Raw genomic sequence first — 27,993 nt, forward strand, 5'->3', positions numbered from 1 at the left:
TAAAATCCTTCACAGACAAGCAAATGCTGAGAGATTTTGTCACCACCAGGCCTGCCTTACAAGAGCTCCTGAAGGGAGCACTAAACATGGAAGGGAACAACTGGTACCAGCCACTATAAAAACATGCCAAATTGTAAAGACCATTGATGCTATGAAGAAACTGCATCAATTATTGGGAAAAATAACCAGTTAACATCATAATGACAGGATCAAATTCCACATAACAATATTAACCTTAAATGTAAATGGGCTAAATGCCCCAGTTAAAAGACACAGACTGGCAAATTGGATAAAGAATCAAGACCTATCAATGTGCTGTATTCAGGAGACCCATCTCATGTGCAGAGACACACATAGGCTCAAAATAAAGGGATGGAGGAAGATCTACCAAGCAAATGGAAAACAACAACAACAAAAACCAGGGGTTGCAATCCTAGTCTCTGATAAAACAGACTTTAAACCAACAAAGATCAAAAGAGACAAGGAAAGCCATTATATAATGGTAAAGAGATCAATTCCACAAGAAAAGCTAACTATCCTAAATATATATGTATCCAATACAGAAGCACCCAGATTCATAAAGCAAGTCCTTAAAGACCTACAAAGGGACTTAGAGTCTGATACAATAATAATGGGAGAATTTAACACCCCACTGTCAATATTAGACAGATCAATGGGACAGAAAGTTAACAAGGATATCCAGCACTTGAACTCAGCTCTGCACCAGGCGGACCTAATAGACATCTACAGAACTCTCTACCCCAAATCAACAGAATATACATTCTTCTCAGCACCACATCATGCTTATTCTAAAATTGACTACGTAATTGGAAGTAAAGCACTCCTCAGCAAATGTAACAGAACAGAAATCACAACAAACTGTCTCAGACAACAGTGCAATCAAATTAGAACTCAGGATTAAAAAACTCACTCAAAACGGCACAACTACATGGAACTGAACAACCTGCTCCTGAATGACTACTGGGTAAATAACGAAATGAAGGCAGAAATAAAGATCTTCTTTTAAAGCAATGATAACAGAGACACAACGTGCCAGAATCTCTGGGACACATTTAAAGCACTGTGTAGAGGGAAATTTATAGCACTAATTGCCTACAAGAGAAAGCAGGAAAGATCTAAAATTGACACCCTAACTTCACAATTAAAAGACCTAGAGAAGCAAGAGCAAACAAATTCAAAAGCTAGCAGAAGGCAAGAAATAACTAAGATCAGAGTAGAACTGAAGGAGATAGAGGCACAAAAAAACCCTTCAAAAAATCAATGAATCCAGGAGCTGGTTTTTTGAAAAGATCAACAAAATTGAAATAGCCAAAGTATAAATGGTTTGTTTGTATTTTGATCTGAAATATTTTCTTCTGTTCTGTTTTCTTAAAACATAGCTGATAAAAAGAGGCAGAGGAAGGTGGCATCTATTTTTTATTGTTTATGTGAAGTTTCCCTGCTACACGGAAAACAAGTCAGGCAGTTTTTAAGGTGGCTCTTGCCTATTGCTTTTCAGGGGGTAAGAGAAAATGGTAGTGTGAAGATCAGATTTCAGACCTTTGGTTTTGCGTTTCTATTTACTGCTCCTGCATGACATAGATGTGTGAAGAGGGCACAAAACGGAAGGCCAATCCATTTGGCAAGGATGTGGGAAGGGAGATGGAGCAATCTTTCATTTACCAGTATTAATAGTCTTATCTTAAGGATACAGAGCTGATAGTGAAGAAATAGTCACCAGGGGATCCTAAAGACATGTGGAAAAGACTCTTTTTCTATTTACTGTTGAAATTGGAGGAAAATAAAACTTTCTCAGGTGTTACTGATTTGTATTTAAGCTAGTGATTTCTTGGGGGTTTTGCCCAATAAGGCTACTTCCTTGCAGTAACGGCATCATTGTGAATACTGTAAACCTCAGTGATGACACTGACCTAATTCTCTTCCCACTTCCCACTTACCTTGTCATGAAGTTACATGTTCTATTTATGTACTTGCAGATAGACTGTGCCCATCTCTGTAATGTCACCTTTTTTGTTATTTTGTAATCGTTGTTATATCATTCATCTATCTCCCTTACCAGCTTTTTTGAAAACAGGCATCTTGTTGCATTGGTTTTTGTACACTCAGAGCCTAACATAGGTCTTGGCTTAAGAAATATTTCTTTTTCATTAATTTGTATTTAACAAACATTTATGTAGTACATACTACATGTTAATACATATTAAATCATTTAATCCTAACTCAATGAAATAAGGTAGGTTATTATCTCTGTTTTATGCCTCTCCCAGAGGCAGAATGAATGAATCAGCCAGGTCATACAGCTAACAGGTTGGCAAAGCCAAGATATGAACCAAGCCAGTCTGGCACTATAGTTTGTTGAAGAAGGAAAGACAAGAAAAATTTGAGATAACTAAAATGGTTAAAATTTGGCTTTAGATATTCTTGTTTCTATAACTAACTCTCCTTGGCTCTTAATCTGACATACAGATTTTTAAACTCTAGAGCACAAATATGCTAGAGATGGTGGGCAAGTATTTTCTTTCCTTGCAAGGAGCCACAATGTCAGATAAAACATAAAATTTTATTCTCAAATTTTTAAAAATTTCACCTGCAGATTTTATGATGACGATGGCAGCAGATTGTTTTTCATGAGGCATTTCTTTGACTTTGAGAGACTTTTTCTGTTTCTTGTTTGTATTCGTTACTCTCTGTGCCTTAAATAGCATATTATGGTTTTGCTTGTAGTTTATTAAATCCACAGTTCTCCAGAAGAATGCCCTAGCTTATGATTTTTGTTTTTGACATCTGTCATTTCCTTGAAAACAAGTTGGCTTTATTTACAAGGTGATTTTTTTTCTTGTTTTCTCCCTATCCTCTTTCTCTCCTTTTCTTAAAGATAAATACATTCTACATTTCTTTTGTAATTTATTCAGCATTATAGGTTCTTCATAGTGGGTTCTAGAGAGGTTCTTCACTTGTTCTATTTAGGTTGTAGTGTTTATTTGATGTGTGTATATTACCCCATTATCTTATCTTAATAAATAGTACTTAGCTATAGTACAATCCTAGTCTTGAACATGGTAGGGTCTAATAACCATAGTTTTGGTCAATGTACATTTTATAGCCTTTTCTTGTTATAGGAGTGTGTTACTTCTTTTTTTTTTTTGGAATCTAAACTTAGTGTCACTTCACTTATGATGCTCATAACTTCCTTTTTTGTCTTATTTGTAGCCCATACCATTTTACAAAAGTTGTCGTATTTCCTCAGTACTGTTTGTAATAAGAGAAAGCCTAGGCAGCATTTTGAATAGCTTCTTCTACTCCAGTTTGAAAATGTTGGTAGGTCAGCCTATTTTACTATTTTTATTAACTCTGCATTATTTTGGCAGGTAGATATAAAGTAGCTTTAGAATTTTCTTAGGATTTCTTTTATTTCCTTAAAATTGGTAAAATAATTACTTTTTAGCCATGGGCAATGGATATTGAATTTCAGTTCCTCTGATCTGGTAAAAGGCTTGTTAGAGAAACTTCTTTATTTTCCCTGTGATTACTTGTTCCATATTTCTTAGTAGGTCTGGGTCACAGACTGGTCAAGAATCTGAAATGTACTAAAGATGGGTCATTGCTTACTACAAATTTAATGTCTGTTGTTGGTTGTTATCACTATTGCCTCTATAGTGTTATTAAAAGGCGATCAGGAGTTCGAAACCAGCCTGGTCAACATGATGAAACCCTGTCTCTACTAAAAATACACACACACACAAAATTAGCCAGGCGTGGTGGCCACCACGCCTGGCTAATTTTTGTATTTTTAGTAGAGACGGGGTTTCACCATGTTGGTCAGGCTGGTCTCAGACTCCTGACCTCAGGTGATCCACCCACCTTGGCCTCCCAAAGTGCTGGGATTATAGTCATAAGCCACTGTGCCTGGCCAAAAAAAAAAGTTTTATAGTACTTAGGGACACACAGTCTTATGACTACTTCCTATTCTGTGACTACTTTCATATATTCTTTTGGTTAAAATTTTATCTAATTTTATTTTGTTCTTTTTAATGTGTACTTAATGTGTAATATATGTCTTAATTCTATCTAATACTAGGCTATCTTCAAGTTATAATACCACTTATAAGCCTAGATTTTATTGACAATCCAGAGGCATCGTCATACTTCTAATTGACAAAAAAAAAAACCAAAAAACTAAAGAAGGTGTGAGGCACATTATACTATTAAACTCCTCACAGACTAAAAGGTCTGTAGGTAAAACAAGAATTGTTCCTTGCTAGGCCTGCCATGGTAAACAAAAGCAAACAAACAAAGAAAGAACAAGAATAGGAATAACAGCAGATTTCTCAACAGAAACAATGCAGGACAAGGCAGTACAACAGCTTATTCAAAGAGCTGAGGGAAAAGGAAACTGTGGCAATCAAGCAAAATCATTCTTCAAAACTGAAGGTAATATAAAGGCATTTCCACATTAAGAAAGACTAAGAGTACTAGTTTACCTGCCTTACAATAAATACTAATAGAAGTCTGTTTAGATGAAAGGAAAATGACATAAGGCAGTAACTCAAATCCACACAAAGAAATAAAAAGCATCAATAAAGATGTGTATTTCCTTTTCCTTAAACAATTTTAGACACCTGAATAAAACAATAATAATCCTGTATTGAGCTTACAAGATATAAAGATCGTGTGTGTGTGTACATTTGTGTATACATTTGCACAAGGGAGATGAGAAGGGAGGGAGCTATATTAGAGTGAATTTTCCATATACTGGAATTAAGTTAGTGGAAAGGAAGTAAAACTGTCTTTATTTATAAATAACATCATCCTGCATATAGAGAATCATAAGAAATCCACAAAAAAAGGTGATGGAACTAATAAATGAGTTCAGCGAGGATACAGGATATAAGATCAATATGTAAAAAATCAATTTTATTTCTGTTGATTACCAATGAACAATTAAAATACGGATATATTTAACAGAAGTGCAAGACGTATACACTGAAGACATTAAAACATGGCTGAGAGAAACTGAAGAACATCTAAATAGATGGAAATGGGTTCCATGGTCATGGATTGGCCGTTTTTCCCAAATTGATCTGTAGATTTGTTGCAATCCTGATCAGAATTCCAGCAGATTTTGATAATTCCTTTTTTGTGGAAACTGGTAAAACAGTCTTAAAATTTATATGGAAGTGCAAAGGAGTGAGAATAGCCAAAACAATTTTGAGAACGATGAGAAGAGTAGAGGGTTACTCTTTTCAGTTTCATAATTTGTTCTAAAGCTATGGTATAGTAGGTAGAATTTTAAGATGGCTCACATGACCTTGGCCCCCTGGCAAAATGGTTTCACTCTTGTGACTATGTTATGTTATATATTTAAAAAGATTATCTTGGTAGGCCCGATCTAATAAATAAGAAAAGCAGAGAGTTTTCTTTAGCTGAGAGTAAAAGATGAAATCAGAGAGATTTGAAACATGAGAAGGATTCAACTTACCATTTCTAGCTTTAAAGATGAATGGGGCTCAAAGCTGAGGATAGTTCATGGCTAACAGCAAGAAAATAAGGATTTAAGTCCTACAACCACAAGGAGCTATATTCTGTCAGCAACCTGAATGAACTTGGAATCAGTTTCCTCCTCAGATATTCCAAATTAGATCACAGCTCAGCTGACAACCTGGATTCAGTCTTGTGAGAAACTAAACATAGAACCTAGTTGAGTTGGTCTGGCCTTTTGACCTACATAACTGTGAGCTAATGAATTTGGGTTATTTTAAGCTGTTGCATTTATGGTAACTTGTTTTGGAAAAATAGAGGAAGAATACACACAGAGGGCTCCAAGATGGCCAACTAGACCCAGGCAGGAGGAACATTTCCCACCAAAGGACTGGGACATCAGGAAAACTGGTACACTCCTAGCAGATCTTCAGAAGGGAGGCATTGAGAGTGGGCAGAAGGAAGAAACAGATGCTGGGCTGAAAGGGGAGGAAGCTGGGAACCCTGCACAGGGCTACTGCACACTGGGACTTGTTCATGGCCTTCAGTGACTCCTGTGGAGTGGGTGAGTTGAACAGGCAAGGAGCAACTCACTCTTATCATGGGCATCTGGAATCCCAGAAATAAGACAGTCACACAACAGTAAAGAAAAAAGAATGAAAGGGAATGAAGAAAATCTTCAAGAAATATAGGATTACGTAAAGAGACCAAATCTATGACTCATTGGCATCTTTGAAATAGATGGGGAGAAACAACTTGGAAAACATATTTGGAAAACATATTTCAGGATATCATTCATGAGAACTTCCCCAACCTAGCTAGACCTGCTACCACCAGACCTGGTACCTGGTACCACCAGACCTGCTTTACAAGAGCTCCTGAAAGAAGCACTAAATATGGAAAGGAAAGACCAGCAACTGCAAAAACACACTTAAGTACACAGACCAGTGACACTATAATGCAACCACACAAATAAATCAGCATAATAAACAGCTAACAACATGATGACAGGATCAAATCCACACATATCAATACTAACCTTGAATGTAAACGAGCTAAATACCCCAGTGAAAAGGCACAGAGTAGCAAACTGAATGAAGAAGCAAGACCCAATGGTATGTTGTGTTCAAGAGACCCATGTCATGTGCAGTGACACCCGTAGGCTAAAAATAAAGGGATGGAGAAAAATCTACCAAGCAAATAAAAAACAGAAAAAAGTAAGGGTTGCAATTCTAATATCAGACAAAACAGACTTTAAACATCTTGCCTAGAATCAGAAAACAAAGATCAAAAAAGACAAAGAAGGCCATTACATAATGGCAAAGGTTTTAATTCAACATGAAAACCTAATTAGCCAAAATGTGTTTGCATCTAACACAAGGCGACCCAGATTCATAAAGCAAGTTCTTAGAGACCTTCAAAGAGACTTAAATTTCCACACAATAATAGTGAGATATTTCAACACCCCCACTGACAGTATTAGACAGATCCTTAAGTCAGAAAATTAACAAAGATATTCAGGACCTGAACACTGGACCAAATGGATCTGATAGACATCTATAAAACTCTCTACCCCAAAACAACACAATATATATTCTTCTCATCTGCACTGAGTACAACATAATCTAAAATTGGTCAAACAATTGGACATAAAACAATCTGCAGCAAATGCAAAAGAACCAAAATCATATATTAGCTACTCTCTCAGACCACAGTACAATAAAAATAGAATTCAAGACCAAGAAGATCTTTGAAAACTATACAGTTTCATGGAAATTAAACAATCTGCTTGTGAATGACTTTTGAGTAAATAATGAAATTAAGGCAGAAAACAAGAAGTTCTTTGAAATGATTGAGAACAAAGGTACAATATACCAGAATCTCTGGAACACAGCTAAGGCAGTGTTAAAAGGGAAATTTATAGCACTAAACAGCCACATAAAAAGTTAGAAAGACCTCAGATTAACAACGTAACATCACAACTAAAAGAACTAGAGAAGCAAGAGCAAACCACCCCAAAGGAAGAGGTGACAGGAAATAGCCAAAATCAGAGCTTAACTGAAGGAGATTGAAACACAAAGAAAACATTTAAAAGATAAACGAAGCCAGGAGCTGGTCTTTTGAAAAAAATTAATAAGCTGGATAAACCACTAGGCAGACTAATAAAGAAGAAAAGAGAGAAGATCCAAGTAAACACAATCAGTAATGAAAAAGGGAATATTATCACTGACCCCACAGAAATGCAAATAACCATCAGAGACTATTATGAACACCTCTATGCACACAAACTAGAAAATCTAGAAGAAATTGATAAATTTCTGGGTACATACACTCTCCCAAGGCTGAACCAGGAAGAAATTGAATCTCTACACATACCAATAATGAGCTCTGAAATTGAATCAGTAATAACCTACCAACCAAAAAAATCTCAAGACCAGATAAATTCACAGCCAAATTCTACCAGATGTACAAAGAAGGGCTGGTAGCATTCCTACTGAAACGATTCTAACAAATTGAAAAGTAAGGACTCCTCCCTAACTCTTTCTATGAGGCCAACATTATCCTGATACCAAAACCTGGCAGAGACATAACAAAAAAAATCCCAGGACTAGACAGATTCACAGCTGAATTCTACCAGAGGACAAACAGGAGCTGGTACCATTCCTTCTCACACTATTCTGAACAACAGAAAAAGAGGGACTCCTCCCTAACTCATTTTGTGAGGCCAGCATCATCCTGATACCAAAACCTGGCAGAGACACAGCAAAAAATGAAAATTTCAGGCCAATATCCCCAATGAACATTGATGTGAAAATCCTCAATAAAATACTGGCACACCAAATCCAATAGCACATTAAAAAGCTTGTCCATCACAATCAAGTTGGCTTCATCCCTGGGATGCAAGGCTGGTTCAACTTATGCAAATCAATAAACATAATCCATCACATAAATGAACCAATGACAAAACCACATGATTATCCCAATAGATGCAGAAAAGACCTTTGATAATAATCAACACCCCTTTATGCTACAGACTCTCAATACATTAGGTATTGGTGGAACATATCTCAAAATAATAAGAGCTATTTATGACAAACCCACAGCCAATATCATACTGATTGGGGAAAAGCTGGAAGCATTCCCTTTGAAAACGGGCACAAGATATGGATGCTCTCTCTCACCACTCTTACTCAACGTAGTATTGGAAGTTCTGGCCAGGGCAATCGGGGAAGAGAAAGAAATAAATGGTATCCATATAGGAAGAGAGGAAGTCAAATTGTCTGTTTGCAGATGATATGAGTGTATATTTAGAAAACCCCATTGTCTGAGCCTAAAATCTCCTTAAGCTGATAAGCAACTTCAGCAAAGTCTCAGGATACAAAATCAGTGTGCAAAATTCACAAGCATTGCTATACACCAATAATAGACAGAGAGCCAAATCATGAGTGAACTCCCATTCACAATTGCTACAAAGATAATAAAATACCTAGGTATCCAACTTACAAGGGATGTGAAGGACCTCTTCAAGGAGAACTACAAACCACTGCTCAAGGAAATAAGAGAGGACACAAAGAAATGGGAAAACATTCCATACTCATGGATGGGAAGAATCAATATCATGAAAATGGCCGCAATGCCCAAAGTAATTTGTTGACTCAATGCTATCCCCATCAAGCTACCATTGACTTTCTTCACAGAATTACAAAAAACTACTTTAAATTTCATATGGAACCAAAAAAGAGCCTGCATAGCCAAGACAATCCTAAGCAAAAAGAGCAAAGCTGGAGGCATCATGCTACCTGACTTCAAACTATACTACAAGGCTACAGTAACCAAAACAGCATGGTACTGGTACCAAAGCAGATATATAGACCAATGGAACAGAACAGAGGCCTCAGAAATAACACCACACATCTACAACCATCTGATCTTTGACAAACCTGACAAAAGCAATGGAGAAAGGATTCCCTATTAAATAAATGGTGTTTGGAAAACTATGTAGCCCTATGCAGAAAACTGAAACTGGACCCCTTCCTTGCACCTTATACAAAAAATAATTCAAGATGAATTAAAGACTTAAACGTAAGACCTAAAACCATAAAAACCCTAGAAGAAAACCTAGGTAATACCATTCACGACATAGGCACTTTGGGAAGCCGAGGTCAGTGGATCACCTGAGGTTGGGAGTTCAAGACCAGCCTGACCAACATGGTGAAACCCTGTCTCTACTAAAAATACAGAATTAGCCAGGTGTGGTGGTGGATGCCTGTAATCCCAGCTACTTGGGAGACTGAGGCAGGAGAATCGCTTGAACCCAGGAGGCAGAGGTTGTGGTGAGCTGAGATTACACCATTGCACTCCACCCTGGACGACAAGAGTAAAACTCCATCTCAAAAATAAAATAAATTTAAAAAATGTGGTACTGTATACCATGAAATACTATGCAGCCATAAAAAAGAACGAGATCATGTTCTTTGCAGAAACATGGATTGAACAAGAGGCCATTATCCTTAGCAAACTAACAGGAACAGAAAACCAAGTTCTCACTTGTAAGTGGGAGCTAAATATAAGAATATATGGACCCAAAGAGAGGAACAACAGACACTGAAGCCTACTAAAAGGTAAAGGGTGGGAGGAAGGAGAGAAGAAGAAAAAGATAACTATGGGTACTGTGCTTGTTACCTGGGTAATGAAATAATCTGTACATCAAAGCCCTGTGACACAAGTTTACCTATATAACAAACCTGCATATGTACAGTGAACCTAAAATAAAAGTTTAAAAAGAAAATACATGCAGTATTCATGACAGTACAGTACTGCCATAAGAATGGATATATTAATCAGTGGAACAAAATTGTAAATCCATATAATAAACCCTAACAATGATGGTCAATTGATTATTGACAAAAGTGCTAAGGCAGTTAAATGGGGAGAAAGAATAATCTTTTCAACTAATGATGATGGGACAATTGAACACATGCGAAAAGAAATACATTTGGACCCTTCACACCATGCACAAAAATTAAGCTAAACATTAATCCATCATTCAGGATACCTTTTGTAAAACCTAGTTTCAGTTAATGATTTTTCTCAGCACCAGTTTTTTTCTTCTTTAGGTGCAGTGTTTTTTATACCTGAACTTCAACAGTGGATCACACTATATAATTTACCCTTATATAATTAATAATAGCCAGAAGTATTGCCTTTTAACACAGAGGAAGAGCAGAATATCATGTATATGGTTACCATGTCGGGGGAGGGGTCTAACCACAGAAGGATCAAAGATCATCACAATGCTAGCCATTGTTAATGTAAGTTCCAAAACTTCGGCCTACTTTTTTTGGTGTCAGAGTAGCCAAGGAAAACACTAAGCAATCAAGCACTGGATGAAACAACAGTTAACTTACATAAAAAAGAAACAGCAAGATCAGCTTCAATGATGGCATTGGTCTTTCATGGATAGGGTGTCCCCTATATCCAGCGGGTTCTCTGGCAGCCAACCTGTCTCTCCTGTCCCGTTCCTGTCCCAGTAAGCAAACTTCTCTTCCTCCCCTCTGGAGTATAAAATACTAAATGCTGGGAATATACCTGAGGGCCATTGGTGCATACACTTAAACAATACAGAGGAACACACATTGAGCCTGAAACAGGAAAAGATATTACCAACAAGGTGATAGTTAAAATTCTGTTTTGTTCAGTTATCTAAAGTTTTGTCTGTTGTGTGAATATATCAATTTTGTGTTGAAGATGCTGCCGTGGTAGCTGACTAATCTGTAGAATGGATTATTTTTATTGGATTTTAAAAATATTTTGCTTTTTAAGACTTGGAACCAACACAAATGTCCATCAGTGATAGACTGGATTAAGAAAATGTGGCACATATACACCATGGAATACTACGCAGCCATAAAAAAGGATGAGTTCATGTCTTTTATGGGGACATGGATGAAGCTGGAAACCATCATTCTGAGCAAACTATCCCAAGGACAGAAAACCAAACTCCGCATGTTCTCACTCATAGGTGGGAATTGAACAATGAGAACACATGGACACAGGGTAGGGAACATCACACACCAGGCCCTGCTGGGGGGTCGGGGGAGGGGCGAGGGATAGCATTAGGAGGTATACCTAATGTAAATGACGAGTTAACGGGTGCAGCACACAAATATGGCACATGTATACATATGTAACAAACCTACACGTTGTGCACATGTACCCTAGAACTCAAAGTAAAATAATAATAATAAAAAATTTTGCTTTTTATGTTTTATGGCCATTTATTTATTCAGATAATGACACAAGTTATTGTAGCCCAGATGCTACTAATGTGAGAGAAGGCATCGTTCTCTATACACTCCATTTAAAATTGTGCGTACCCATTCTGAATCCTCATGTCAGGCTAAATTGAATAATAATAAATAATTACTCAGTGAAATATTACAAGTCTCAGAGTAGTTGAAAACCAAATCGACATTACAGACATATATTTACTATTGTCTTCCAGTTAGTGGTTTCTGATTGATTGATAATTGCTACCAGGGACACAGTTTTATATATAATTGTGTGTACGCACATACACACACACACACACATACACACACACACACACACACATATATATCTTCAAAAATTCTATTTTTCAGTGTAATCTAGACCTTAATACCTGGTTATTGACCTGAAGATATATACTTTCTACCAGCAGGTTACAGATTCAAAATGAAACCTGAAAAGTATTTAAACTGATAATGTGATATTAATAACATTAAAGTTTATGTGTTATCTAAATTAGATATGATTGGGCACAGTGGTCAAAATATACTGCAAAATTTAGGTTTATGGTCACCTTTTTTGGAATCAGGGTTGTTTGCTCTTATATCTGACTGTTTGACATTTGTTCTCAATTCTCCATCTCAGAAGAAGGCTTTTTTCTTTTTTGATTTGTATAAATTTTAGGGGTATGAGTATAGTTTCGTTACATGGCTATATTATGTAGGTAGTGAAGTCTGGGCTTTTAGTGTATCCATCACCGGAATAATGTACATTATATTCATTGAGTAATTTTTTTTTATTATCTGCTCCCCCCTCATAGCCTCCACTCTTCTGAGTCTCCAATGTCTATTATTCCACATTATCTAGCTCTCATTTCTAAGTGAGAACATGTGGTATTTTTCAGTTTCTGAGTTGTTTCACTGAAGATAAAAGCCTCCAGTTCCATTTATGTTACTGCAGTAGACATAATTGCATTCTTTTTTTGCGGATGAATAGTATTCCATTGTGTATATACCACATTTTCTTTTTCTAATCATCCATTGATAGACATTTATGTTGATTCCTTATCTTTGCTATTGTGAATAGTGTTGCAATAAACATACAAGTACATGTATCTTTTTATGTGATTATTTCTTTTCCTTTGGGTAGATACACAGTAGTGGGATTGCTAGATTGAATTGTTGTTCTATTTTTAGTTATTCGAGAAATCTCCATACTGTTTTCCATACAGGTTGTAATTATTTACACTCGCATCAACAGTATATAAGCATTTCCCTTTCTCTGCATCACAGAAGGATTTTTCTATTGTTCATTTATTTCTAATGGACTCTGGCTCAAAAACTGTGCCATCTGTCATAGGGCATTGTGTGATAAGAAGTATAATCTAGTACTAAACAGATTGTCTCAGACAAAGTATGAGTGAATTTTTGCTCTTGGAACAGCAAGTCTTGATCTGGAACCAGTTCTATCGGTCATGGTATATAAACAGCCAGATTAGTAGTACTGGATTTTGCAAAGTTAGTATCACCATGCTGAGATAAAAAGTCTTGAGTGCAGAAGAGAGAGAGGATTGGGTTATCCTTTGATATTATGTTGATATCAGTCACTGGTATCCATTGAACTCTTTCAAAGCTAAGTTATTGATCCAAGGACCAAAGTACAAGCTACAATTTTTTTTTTTTTTTTTTTTTTTTGAGACGGAGTCTCGCTCTGTCGCCCAGTCTGGAGTGCAGTGGCGGGATCTCGGCTCACTGCAAGCTCTGCCTCCCGGGTTCACGCCATTCTCCTGCCTCAGCCTCCCAAGTAGCTGGGACTACAGGCGCCCGCCACTACGCCTGGCTAATTTTTTGTATTTTTAGTAGAGACGGGGTTTCACCGTTTTAGCTGGGATGGTCTCGATCTCCTGACCTCGTGATCCGCCCGCCTCGGCCTCCCAAAGTGCTGGGATTACAGGCGTGAGCCACCGCGCCCGGCCTACAAGCTACAATTCTAAACACCCTTTTCCCTTTTTTGGATGGGAATACTGACATATATATTGAGCATTGCTGACAAAGCAATTTGCCAGGCACCCTTCAGGTAAACAGATAAAACCTCAGAAAATGTAATATTTGACTGTGCTTCTACTTGTGGAGTTAAGTCTTCTCATAAGTTAACTTCCTTCAACTGCCTGTTAACAAAGTTAAATTTTAATCCCTCTTGCCAACCGATTTTTTAACTTTTATTATTCAGTGAATACTAAATCATTTCTTCCCTTAATTGTTAAAGCTTTTTGTTTCTTTTTCTCTTGTTGGTCTGTCTTTTGTTACAGAGAATCCCAGTTAAGAACTATGAAGGATAGAGATAAAATTATTTTTCCTCCTCTATAGTTCCTTTAAATTTTTTAATTTTGTACCTATGATTTACCTTTATGTCTATCTTAGATATTTACAGTTTGCCATTATAGAAGTCCTCTGGATTAGGCATGTCATGGGATATAAACAAAACAGAGAAAGACATAGAAATCAATTGCAATCAAACTACCCTGAAAGAAGAAATCTCTCAGAGCAGTACTGCTCAACAGAACTTTCTGATGATGTAACTGTCCTGTCTGTGCATTGTCCAATATGATAGCAACTCACCATGTGTGGCTCTTGAGCACTTGATATATGACTGATGAGACTGAGGAGAACTGAATTTTGTTTAATATTAATAGACACCTGTGGCTATAATTTTGGACAGTGTAGTTCTGGAACAGAAATTAATGCCTGGATATAAGAAATGTATGAGTTCCTATAATGAATATGTTGACTAAGGAGATGTAAGCTAGTCGTGACTGGGCTTGTTAGCTCAGGTGAGATCTGTGTTTTTCAGAAAAAATTGGTGATATATTACATATGTTTTTACCTTGCTGAATAATTGTGAAACAAACGTAATATAAATTTCAGTATCAAAATGAAATAAAATTATTGCGTTCCTGCTTTTTACAGGTTACAACAGTAGCCACCGAAATCTCAAAGTAGATCCATGTCTTCTTTTTTAGTGACTTAGCCTGATTAAAGAGATATGATAGATATGTAGAGAGAAGGAGGGAAGAAAGGAAGGATGGATGGATGGATGAGAAAACAGTGTAATATTTATTACGTTGTTTATAGATTATATTATATTACAATTGTTATATATTATAATTAATTAGAATACTATATTCTAAATAACACAGGAGTGGTACATTGTTTATTTTCTCAAATACCTGCGTAGATTTGATGTTATCTAAGATTCCTTCCAGCTCTAACTTTGTGATGCTAAATCTTAAGAATGCTGAGCAGAAGGAAATCTCTGAAAGTGGAGCAGTCAGATTAATTTAGGATTTGGAATTTATTATTTGACTTGTGTTGTTATATGATCTCAATCTCCCAGGTCATATCAATGATTCAATTTTTCTAAGTAAATTTATTTCATTTCATACGGAGTATTGATTAAAAGGAAGCTCTGATAAATACCCCCTACAGTGTGGTATCTTCTTGGTTACTCTAATACCTTTTTTAAGCGTGATAGTCATGCTTTTTAATCATTCAGATAGAAACATACTACTTAAGGAGGCAGCACGTTTAGAGAATAGGCTAGAAATAAGTAGAAACACAAGGTAATTTGTGTGTCTCCCCAATTACAGCACTGTTTAGCACTGATGGGCAAAAGGAACAACTTGAAGGCTTAATCCACTGTTCTTCATTCTTTCACTGTGTATCCTTAAAGGCCTGTCATTGGCATCGTGAGGTAATCCTTTTCTCATTGGCTAGCTAACTGTGTTGGTAGCTTCAGTTCTTCCAGACTGAGTCAGGATATAACTTTTTAAGTTTAATGCTCTGTTGATTTTGTCAATCTATTGCTCTGTTCAGCTTACACCTTTACACAGTGTTCAGAGCTCTCAAAAATGTGTAGCCTTAAGCATTTTGCTCTGCTTTGGGTATGAAATAAATGTTTGATGGATTCTGGCCTGCTTGACAGATTGAGTGACTGCTGTTTCCCGATACTCTTACATGTCTACTCTTACTTGGTGCCGTCTTTCTCAGATAATTTGTCTGAGTACTCAGGGCACTATCTCATAGAGAAGGACACCCAACTGGAACTGTGTGCCACCCTAACGTCATTTTTTTGTTTTTAAAACAAGGGACCACATTAATCAAACCCAGAAACAAGGTGTTTCAGGGTTCTCAAGACAACCCCCAGGTTTAGTGATTGACAAGACTCAGAAGGCTCTGCATATAGTCATACTCACTGTGAAGGTTTTTTATTTTATTTTATTTTATTTTTTATTTTATGAGACAGAGTCTCACTCTGTCCCCCAGGCTGGAGTGCAGTGGTGCAGTCTTGGCTCACTGCAACCTCCGCCTTCCAGGTTCAAGAGATTCTCATGTCTCAGCCTTTCAAGTAGCTGGAATTACAGGTGTGTGCCACCCTCCCTGGCTAATTTTTGTAATTTTAGTAGAGGTTGGGTTTTGCCATGTTGCCCAGGCTGGCTCCAGCTCCTGGCCTCAAGTGATCTGCCTGCCTCAGCCTCTCAAAGTGCTGAGATTACAGGTGAGAGCCACCGCGCCTGGCCAAGATTTATTACTATGAAAGGAATAAAGGGAAAAGGTAAAGTCTGGAAGAAAAGCCCATGCAATCTTATAAGACTCATCTCTAAATGGAATCACACAATATATGCTTTGTTCCTCCAGCAGTGAATTCTGACAACTACTGTGAAATGTTATCTACCAGGGAGACTCACTGGAGACTCAGAACCTAAAGTTTCTGTTGGGGGCTGGTCACATAGGCACCCTCTACTGTATATCAATTTCCAGACTCCCAGAGGGAAAACAGATGTTCAGCATGAACCAAGTTGTTTGTATAAACTGGTTAGGCATAGTAAGATATGAATATCAGTTACGAATTGGTGGAAACAGTTCAGAAATCGGTTTGCATATTGCCAGCGAAGGGCCAACTGTGTAAGCAGGACATTCTAAGGGTAGCAGGTTCAGGCCAGCTATGGTAACTCTTCTGCTCATGAGAAATGTGTCAGTTGGCATTCAGACTTGGAACTTTTAACACATTTTTAACTTTCTTTATATCTAGTCTCTTTACTGTCTTCTTTTGGTGATCATTATTGTCATTAGGAGATTAATAGAAATATAGTATACTGTATGCCTATTCCTTCACCTCATGTGGCCATTTATATTTCTTGTACATGAGAGCACCAGATCTTCTTTCCTATTTCTCCTTGCCACATTTTCTTCTTTTGGCATTTGCTTTGCCCAGTACTTCAAGATTGTAGTCCCATAGTTGCATTTGAGTTTTTAAAGACAGATTTATTTTTTCCTTAAAGCGGCTGACTAGTATTGCCTTAAAAGAACATTATATGAACTGGGCACTGTGGCTCATGTGTATAATCTCAGCACTTTGGAAGGCCAAGGCAGGTGGATCACTTGAAGCCAGTTCAAGACCAGCCTGGGCAACATAGCCAGACCCCATCTCTACAAATATTTGAAAAATAGCTGGGCATGGTGGTACACACCTGTATTCCCAGCTACTCGGGAGGCTGAAGTGGGAGGATCACTTGAGCCCAGGAGTTCAAGGCTACAGTGAGCTATGATTGCACCATTGTACCACTGCAGCCTGGGTAACAGACTGAGACCCTATCTCTAAAAATAATAAAATAAAATTTAAAAATAAAATGAATAAAATAAAAAGAAAGAAGGTTATATGAATACCTATTGGTGTGCCTCTTAAGACTTAGAAACCTTAAAGTTGAACCTCCAGTACCTCAGAGAAGGTTTTATGTTTATTATAGATATAAACTGTGATGATTATATGGGCAGACTAAGAAGTAAATTTAACCATTAAATCTAGTCTAAATCAATGTCAACTCATACTTCTGAGTAATTTAAGAATAAAGAAACTTTTATTCTTCAGGTAGGATCACAGCTAAAAGCATTTGGATGAAGATAATAGGAAACAGATATGGAAGTGATGTAACTGTGGGAGTCCACAGAATAGGAAGTAAATGATGCTGCCATAAAAACAGAATAAAGGCTGGTATAGAAATAAGAGATTATAGTAATAGGAACTGCAATATATAATATTGGTATCAAGCAGGAAGATCCAGCTACCAATCCCAAGTGAGGATTCCCACTACATGGAGTTTGGTAGCAACCATAACAATGCCAATCACCAGAAATGGGAGATCATAGACCTCAGCCCACTGCATCTTCAGTGGGTTCAGAGTTGCAAAGGAAGACTCAACCCACATGTCACAGATTGGAACAATACTTTACTCAAAGAAAGGAGAAGAGACTCAGCAAGATCACTGTCTATAGTGTATACCAGTGCTATGGTCTGATTGTGTTCCCCCACATTCATGTGTTGGAAACTTAATCCCCAGTGCAACATTATTGAGAGGTGGAGCTTAATGGGAGGTATTATATTTAGGTCATGAGGGTCTCACCGTCATGAACAGAGTAATGCTGTTATAAAAAGAACTTGAAGGAGTGGGTTCCCTTATTGTTCTTCTGCCTTCTGCCATGTGATGACACAGCATTCCTCCTCACCAGTGGAGGCAGCATTCAAAGTGCCATCTTAGAAGCAGAGAGCAGCCCTTACTGAAAACTTCCATCTTGATCTTGGATTTCACCATCTCCTGAACTATGAGAAATAAATTTCTCTTTTTTTATAAATTATTCAGCCTGTGGTATTCTCTTATTGCAGCACACATACACTAAGGCAGCTGGTCTCTCATGGCCAATGAGTCCCTCCTTATAGCCAGTGCAGGGCAATAGACTACTACATGCACACTTCTCATGCTGCAGGTGAAGACCTAGTTCCCTTCCCACAAGGGACAGATATACTGGTGGGGCTGGTCAGGGTCCATATGATGTTTCTCTTGATAAGGAAGGAGAATTTGGGGACACGCAACAGCTCAGCTTCCATATAGAGAATGTTCCAGGCCCAGTTTACTGGTTGAGCAATACCAGAGAGCAGTGGCATGTCGTATGGCTGCTTCCACAACAATTGGGCATATGCTAGAAGACTCACTGTTATACATTTAGAATATCTGGTGATTTTTTTACCGGCCTAAGTGAAGTGAAAGGAAGTAATGAGAAGTACAATTATTCTGGAGTTAATTCCAGCTGACATGGTTTGGCTCTGTGTTCCCACCCAAATATTATCTTGTAGCTCCCATAATTCCCATGTGTTATGGGAGGTACCCGGTGGGAGATGAATGAATTATGGGGGCTGGTCTTTCCCATGCTGTTCTCATGATAGTGAATAAATCTCATGAGTTCTGACAGTATTATAAGGGAGAGTTTCCTTGCACAAGCTCTCCTTGCCTGCCACAGGCCATCCCCTTAAGATGGGACTTGCTTCTCCTTACCTTCTGCCATGATTGTGAGACCTCCCCAGCTAAGTGGAACTGTGAGTCCATTTAAACTTCTTACTTTTGTGAATTGCCCAGTCTTCGGTATGTCTTTATCAGCAGCATGAAAACAGACTAATACACCAACTAACAAGGAAAACTTAATTGGTGAGGAACAAATAATGGGCACTTGTAGAGATGGAATTTATTTTAGAATTCTTATTAGTAAAATAATGCCTGGGAATAGTGCTTGTTCCCATCAGCAAGAGAAAAATTCATAATTTATAGGGCATTGGGTAGAATATTCCAGTTAGATTTTTGTCCTAGTCATGGAAAATAAATAGCTCTAGGCTGAGCACCTCTCCACACTGATTCAACAAATCAGAAAAGAAAGATCTAAGTGAATCAAGCTGTTTCCAAGTAACTAAACTGTGACAGAATAAACCGTAACTAAACTGTCACAGAATAAACCTCAAGAATAGAGAAATACATAAATATATAATACCCAAGAAGATAAAATTTACAACACTGGGAATTCAAAGTAGGCATGCAAAGAATCAGTAAAATGCAATCCCCATACAGGAGAATAATCAGTTGAATTGACACAGATAATAAAATTAACAGTCAAGGATTATTAAGCCATTATTATACCTATATTCCATTGGTTTATAAAGACAAATAGTACCATATAGATACCAAAGAGACACAAATTGAACTCTTTCTTTGTTTTTTGAGATGGGATCTTGCTCAGTCACCCAGGCTGAAGTGCAGTAGTGTGAACATGGCTCCGTGCAGCCTCTTTCTCCTAGGCTCAAAGGATTCTTCTGTCTCAGCCTCTCAAGTAACTGGGACTCCTGGTGCACAACACGACACCTGGCTAATTGTTTGATTTTTTTTTTTTTTTGGTAGAGATTGAGTCTCACTTTGTTGCCCAGGCTGGTCCTGAACTCCTGGTCTCAAGTGATCCACCTCAGCCTCCAGAAGTGCTGGGATTATAGGCATGAGCCACCACACCCAGCAGATTGAACTTTTGTGTATGAAAATCATTCTGTCTAATAACAAAAATACACTGGATCGGATTAATGGGAGATTAGACATTGCAGAAGAAAAAATGAGTGAGTTGGAGATATAGCAGTTAGACAGAAAAAAGTGATTTAACTAAAATCATTGAGTTGTTGGACAACTCTAAGTGATCTAATTAATATATATATTTATATTATATTATATATAATATAATTATATAATATATAAATATATTATAAAAATATAAATAAATATATATAATATATATATATAATATATATAACTGGAGTTCCTGAAGGAGAGTTGTGAGCAGAAAACTTTTGAAGAAATAATGGCCAAAAATTTTCCAAAGTGATGAAAACTATAAACCCATGGATTGAAGTACCTCAGTGAACCTCAAACACATGCAGAAGATGCATCTAAACACATGTATACCAAAGCACATCAAAAGTAAATTGCTTGAAATCAGTGATGAACAAAAATATCTTAAAAGTAGCCAGAAAAAAAATACATGTTGCATACAATGGAAAAAATGATAAATATGACAGCAGGTTCTTGCAGGAAACAGTGCAAACAAGAGCACATTAGAGCAACATTTAAAAGTACTTTTAAAAAAATGTCAACATCAAATTCTATACCCAGAAAAAAAAACTTTAAAAGCCAAAATCAAGGTAGAGATTTTCAGACATATAGAAGCAGAAAAACATAATTACCAGGAGTCCACACTAGTAGAAATGTTAAAGGAAGTCTTTCATAAAGAAGGAAAATTATACCAGATGGAAATATACATAAACTAATGGCATGCACCAAAACATAACCTAATGGGTAAATATATAATATTTTTTATTATATAAGTCATTTTAAATGTAAATGCCTCTTTAAAGGAAGTAATGACATTCACTTTAGGGGTTTTAACAAATATATATAAGTAAAATGTATAAGAAATATTGCATTAAGGGAAAAATGAAGGTATTTTGTTGTATGGTTTTTATCCTATATGTGAACTGATGTAATATCAGTTGAAGATAGGCTGTGATAAGCTAAAGCTGTATAATAGTAACCTTAAAGCAACCACTAAAATAACAAGATTGTAACAAATAGATGAACAAAGGGGATGATACTGGTTTTTTTAAAAAAATTAAGAAAAGGTGGAAAAGGAGAGAAAGCGCTTGCAATAGATGGGACAAATAGAAATCAAAATAATAGATTTCAACTTAATATATAAATAATCACATTATTTTTCAGTGGTTTAAGCACCGCAATTAAAAAGCAGAGACTGTCAAATTGTATTTAAGGGGGAAAAAGCAAGACACAAATATAAACTGCCTGTCAGAAACCCACATGAAATTTAAAGAAATAACCTAAAAGTATGTACTCTGCTAATAGTAACCAAAAGAAAGCTGGAGTAACTGTATGAACATAGAACAAAATAGATTGTGGAACACGGAGTATTACTGGGATCAGTATTACTGTTTTTTATCTACTTAAAAAACAGAGTTAAAATACGTGAAGCAAATACTGATGTAACTTCAAAGAGAAGCCAACTAATCCACAATTATACTTGATTTCATTACCACCTTCTCAATGGTTAATAGAACGAGGAAAATCTAAGGATGTAGAACACTTCAAAAATACTATCAACCAATTTGATGTAATTGCCGTTATGAGAATACTTAAGAGAAAAAAAAAGGATAACCTAGTTTTATATCTGTTAAGGAAATTGAATTTGTAGTTAAAAAGCTTTCTCACAAAGAAAACTCAAAGCCCAGAGGCATCACTGGTAAATTCTACCAAACATTTAAGGAAGAAATACTCTATTTTCTACATAAAGTCTTCCAGAAAATTATAGAAGAGGAAATACTTAACAATTCATTGTGTGGTGCCAGTAATACCCTGATATGCAAACCAAAGACAAAAAAATTGATATCCCTCATGAATCTACATGCAAAAATTCTAAACAAAATTTTTAGCAAATCAAATGCAGCAATATTTTAGAAACAATAATATTTCCTTATTTAGTGCCATTTACTACAGGAATACAGGTTTAATTTAGCATTTGGAAACCAATTAACACAATTCAGCATGTTAATAAGCTAAAAAAGAGTGACCATATATTCATCTCAATAGGTCCAAATTTTTTTAGATGAAGTCTAACATATATTAGTGATAAAAACCTTTGGCAAACTGGAAATGTGAGGATACTTTTTCAACCTGATAAAGCTTATATGAAAATTTTACAACTGTTAATAACATCATACTCAATGATGAAAGACTGAATGGTTTCCCCCAGTGGTCAGGAACAACGCAAGGATATTCAGCCTTACCACATCTATTCAACATTGTACTGAAAGTTTCAGACCATGTAATAAATCAAGAAAAAATTAATAAAAGACATCCAAATTGAGAAGCAAATAATAAAATATTCTTTATTTATAAATAGCATGACCATCTACATAGAGATGCAATGAAATCTGCAAAAAAATGTTACAAGAACTAATAAGTGAATTTCACAAAGTTATAGGATACAACATCAGTGTATTAAAATCAGTAGTATTTCTGTGTCCTGGCTATGAACAAGTAGAAATCAAAAATTTAAAACAATACCATTTACAAAACACTTCTATGTATATGGAATAAAAAGAAATAAATGTGGCAATGTCAAAGACCTAGACACTTAAAAACTACAAAATATTGCTGTGTGAAGTTAAGGAACACCTAAATAAAAAGACTGAGAGTGGTGGCTCATTCATGCCTGTAATCCCAGAACTTTGGGAGGCTGAGACAAGCGGATCATGAAGTCAAGAGATCGAGGCCATCCTGGCCAACATGGTGAAACCCCATCTCTACTAAAAATACAAAAATTAGCTGGGTGTGATGGTGCATGCCCGTAGTCCCAACTACTTAGGAGACTGAGTCAGGAGAATCACTTGAACCCAGGAGGCGGAGCTTGCAGGGAGCAGAGATCACACTACTGCATTCCAGCCTGGAGACAGAGCAAGACTCCATCTCAAAAAAAAAAAAAAAAAAAAAAAATTAAGCAATATCCTGTGTTCATGAGGTTAAGGACATACGATACTGTTAAGATGTTATTTCTCTCCAAAGTAATCTAAATGTTCAATGAAGGACTGGGCACACAGTGGCTCACACCTAAAATTCAAGCATTTGGGAGGCCAAGGCAGGAGGATTACTTGAGGGTAGGAGTTCAAGACCAGCTTGAGCAAGACAGCCAGACCCTTTCTCTCCAAAATCCTGTTTAAAAAATTACTGAGACATGGTGGCCTTTGGTCCTAGATACTTGGGAGGCTGAGGCAGGAGGATTGCTTGAGCCCAGGAGCTCAAGTCTACAGTGAGCCAGGATCACACCACTGCACTCCAACCTGTGCAACAGGGATAGACCTTGTCTCAAAAAATAAAGATTCAGTGCAATTCCAGTCGCATTCTCAGCCAGCGTTTTTTGTAGAAATTGACAAATTGATTGTAAAATTTATATGGAAATGTAAAGACCCTAGAAAACCCAAAACAATGTTGAAAAAGAACAAATTCAAAGGGCTCATACTACTTATCAATCTTATTATAAACCTACAATATGGGATGGGTGTAAAGATAGACAAATCAGTAAAACAGAGTAGAGAATACAAAAATGGACCCAAAGAAATATGCCTAACTCATTTTTCGGCAAAGATGCAAATGACATTCAACGGAGGAAGAATATTCTTTTCAACGAGTCCATATCCTTATGGATATGTCACAATTTCATGTGCATATGCAAAAAGAAATTACTGTGGCTCCATATACCCCGGTAAACACAAATTAACTCATAAGGGATCATAGACCTAAGTATAAAACCTAAACTATTAAACCCTCCAAAGAAAACAGGAAAAATCTTTGCAGCCGTGGATTAGTCATAGATTATTAGATACAACACCAGAAGGACAATCCATAAAAGAACCATTGAGAAAAGCACATGAAAAGTTGCTCAACATTAGTTATTAGGAAAATGAATATTAAAACCACAATTATATACTATTACATAGCTATTACAATGACCAAAATTAAAAAGGCTTCCCCTATCAAGCAAGGATCTGGAGGAACTGGAACTCTTATGCACTGCTGAGAGGAAGGTAAAATTGTACAACTACCCTGCAAAATATTTTAACTTTTTAAGAAAGTGCAAAATATACACCTACCATATAATCCAACCATTATGCTAGGTATTTACTCAAGAGAAGTGAAAGCATATAGTTACACACTGGTATTCACAGCAGGTTTTTTTTTTTTATAACCTCAAATTAAAACAACCCAAGTGTTCATCAGGTGAACTGATAAATTGTGGTATATCTATATAATGGAAAACTGCTCAGCAATGAAAAGCAACTACTGATACGTTCAGTAACATGAGTGAATGTCAAAATAATTCAGCTGAATTTAAAAATCAATTCAAGATGGATTAAAGATTTAAACGTTAGACCTAAAACCATAAAAACCCTAGAAGAAAACCTAGGCATTACCATTCAGGACATAGGCGTGGGCAAGGACTTCATGTCCAAAACACCAAAAGCAATGGCAACAAAAGCCAAAATTGACAAATGGGATCTAATTAAAGTAAAGAGCTTCTGCACAGCAAAAGAAACTACCATCAGAGTGAACAGGCAACCTACAACATGGGAGAAAATTTTCGCAACCTACTCATCTGACAAAGGGCTAATATCCAGAATCTACAATGAACTCAAACAAATTTACAAGAAAAAAACAAACAACCCCATCAAAAAGTGGGTGAAGGACATGAACAGACACTTCTCAAAAGAAGACATTTATGCAGCCAAAAAACACATGAAGAAATGCTCATCATCACTGGCCATCAGAGAAATGCAAATCAAAACCACTATGAGATATCATCTCACACCAGTTAGAATGGCAATCATTAAAAAGTCAGGAAACAACAGATGCTGGAGAGGATGTGGAGAAATAGGAACACTTTTACACTGTTGGTGGGACTGTAAACTAGTTCAACCATTGTGGAAGTCAGTGTGGCGATTCCTCAGGGATCTAGAACTAGAAATACCATTTGACCCAGCCATCCCATTACTGGGTATATACCCAAAGGACTATAAATCATGCTGCTATAAAGACACATGCACACGTATGTTTATTGCGGCACTATTCACAATAGCAAAGACTTGGAACCAACCCAAATGTCCAACAATGATAGACTGGATTAAGAAAATGTGGCACATATACACCATGGAATACTATGCAGCCATAAAAAATGATGAGTTCATGTCCTTTGTAGGGACATGGATGAAATTGGAAACCATCATTCTCAGTAAACTATCGCAAGAACAAAAAACCAAACACCGCATATTCTCACTCATAGGTGGGAATTGAACAATGAGATCACATGGACACAGGAAGGGGAATATCACACTCTGGGGACTGTGGTGGGGTCGGGGGATGGGGGAGGGGTAGCATTGGGAGATATACCTAATGCTAGATGACACGTTAGTGGGTGCAGCGCACCAGCATGGCACATGTATACATATGTAACTAACCTGCACATTGTGCACATGTACCCTAAAACTTAGAGTATAATAAAAAAAAATAAATAAATAAATAAAAATAAAAAAATAAAAATTTAGGCTTAGCAGACTATATACTGTATAATTCTATTAATATAAATCTCTAGAAAAAGCAAAGTAATCTTCAATGATAGAAAGTAGATTAGTGCTTGCATAGTTGGACAGATTCAGGAATAGTGGAGTGGGTGGAAGAGATTACAGGGGACACAAGGAGACTTTTAGAGATGGTGGATATGTTCTTGGTCTTGACTGTGGTGATGGTTCCTGGATAGATACATATGGCAAAACTTACCCACTTGTACACTTTACTTATGTGCAGGTGATTGCATGTCAGTCATATCTCAGTAATGCTGTTTTTTTTTGTTTTTGTTTTTTTAAAAAAAAAGAACTGCATATTTTTTCTTTAAGGTTCTAGCTGCCTGGCCTTATTGTGATCAGAGCAATTGTCCAGCCCTAGTTCAGCTCTATCTTTTCTCCTAAAATATATTTTACAGTGCATGATATATTTAATACTCACAACAGAAATTTGTAAGCAGTTAGTATAGCCGTTATCCTAACAAATTGTATATTCCTGACAAAGTGGAAATGTTCCCATTTTAATATATGTTTAATGACACATTACACAGGCTTTAAATGTCACTCTTAGTATTTTGAAACCCGCAGAAACTGGAATGACGTTCACATATATGAGCAATCAATTCTAATGGCATTAGGCTAAATACCAGTTTCTGAAAATAATTTTTATATGAATATTTTCTCCAGATAATTCGACTTTTAAATGTTTTTAGATGAGACATCTTTATATAAGTGTATATAGATTGAAGAAGCCCTGTAAAACCTGAAATTTCCATGTTTCAACTCTTTTTTACATGCCTGTTAACAGGCTACAGGTAGATGTTGTGCAAACTTCATTGATTTACTCTGCAATAAATTATTACCATCCAGATCAATAAACAGACACCTGTCATCGTAACTTGGGAATGTTAGACATTTGGCTGTATTCTAAGATACAGTTCATAGTTATTTACAAACCATTTTGTGTGTGTGAAAGATTTTATAAGTGACCGTTTGGCAAGCTGCATTATTCTACTTTCTTAAGCCATGCTTGGGAATATTGATTTTTAATTATTGTCTTGCTCTAGGGCTTGCTATTTAGTGAACAAGTTGTTTTTCTGCTCATTTCTCAAGGATTCTTTCAGAATGCCAGTTAAGAGCATAGACTTTGGAGCCAATATGCTTGGGTTCCTATCAGTAAGAAAAATAGGTTAATCTTATACATATAATTTTTACAACTTACTGTTACCTATACATGTATCATCCTATACATATAATTTATACTGTTTATATAATTTACAACTTACTGTTACCTTGGGCAGATTAGTTAACACTGCTAAGTCTCAATTTCCTCATCTGCAAATGGGGAAAATGTGATGAATATACCTAATACATTATCAGTTAGAATTGAATGAGTTAATAAATGTAAAAAGAACAGTACCTAGCATGCAGTAAATGCTTTATGACAGTTCACTTCCCTGTTATTATCATGCTATTGCTGTAATTGATTTTACCTAGATTGTGAAGTAGATTCTGGTGAAAACCGAGAATATTGCCTATTTGGTAATGCCTTTATGTTGAGTTATTCATCTTTTATGCCTACGACATTCAGCCTGAATACTTTGTCAATTAAGAGATTATCACACTTGTTTTTCGTTTCTCTCAGTCTTGGGGCAATCTATTCACCAAAATTGGGTGCTTTGAGAATAAAAATGAGGTTGGTGAAAAAAAGATTTTTAAAAATCTTCTAAGAATAAAATTTGTAGCCATCAGTGTTCATTTGCTTTAAAAGCACAAGAGAAAAGACATTTTATAAAGTGGATTACAATGTTATACTCTTATTTGGATTCATCAGAATTCCTGCGTAAACTTAGAGCTGTGGCCTGTCTGGACTAGCATTTGTTCTTGGGTAGGACAGTGTGTTAGAGAACAGAGGTGAATGCAGAGGAAGTAACAGAAGCTCCGATTCTAATTTTTTAAAAAAATTCTTCTGCTTTTATTCCCATCCAACATAGCTTTTTGGTTTCTTTAAATCATTAAGAAGAGACCTTCAGCCCCAGGAAATCCAGAAATAGCTGGGGAAATTTTTAGTCGTGTGCCCATGAGCCAAGGAAGACAAATGATATATTTTTTTAAGATGATCTGTTGTTAGTATACTACTTTTTACTACTTTTTTTTTCTTTTTTTGAGACGGAGTCTAGCTCT

At 36.4% G+C, this 27,993-nt stretch overlaps 1 protein-coding gene and 1 long non-coding RNA gene across 25 annotated transcripts in view; both read left to right on the forward strand.

Annotated features, from left to right (window-relative positions):
* The window catches only part of KIAA1328, a 403,046-nt gene that overhangs the window by 132,611 nt on the left and 242,442 nt on the right, over window positions 1-27,993 (forward strand). The gene's annotated exons all lie outside the window — the stretch shown is intronic.
* LOC124904287 (uncharacterized) lies at window positions 943-15,737 on the forward strand. The gene is made up of 2 exons (XR_007066344.1): window positions 943-11,029; window positions 15,416-15,737. It is a non-coding gene; the product is annotated as an uncharacterized LOC124904287 (long non-coding RNA).

The sequence above is a fragment of the Homo sapiens genome, chromosome 18, assembly GCF_000001405.40.
Source record: "Homo sapiens chromosome 18, GRCh38.p14 Primary Assembly".
Classification (NCBI taxonomy): Eukaryota; Metazoa; Chordata; class Mammalia; order Primates; family Hominidae; genus Homo; species Homo sapiens.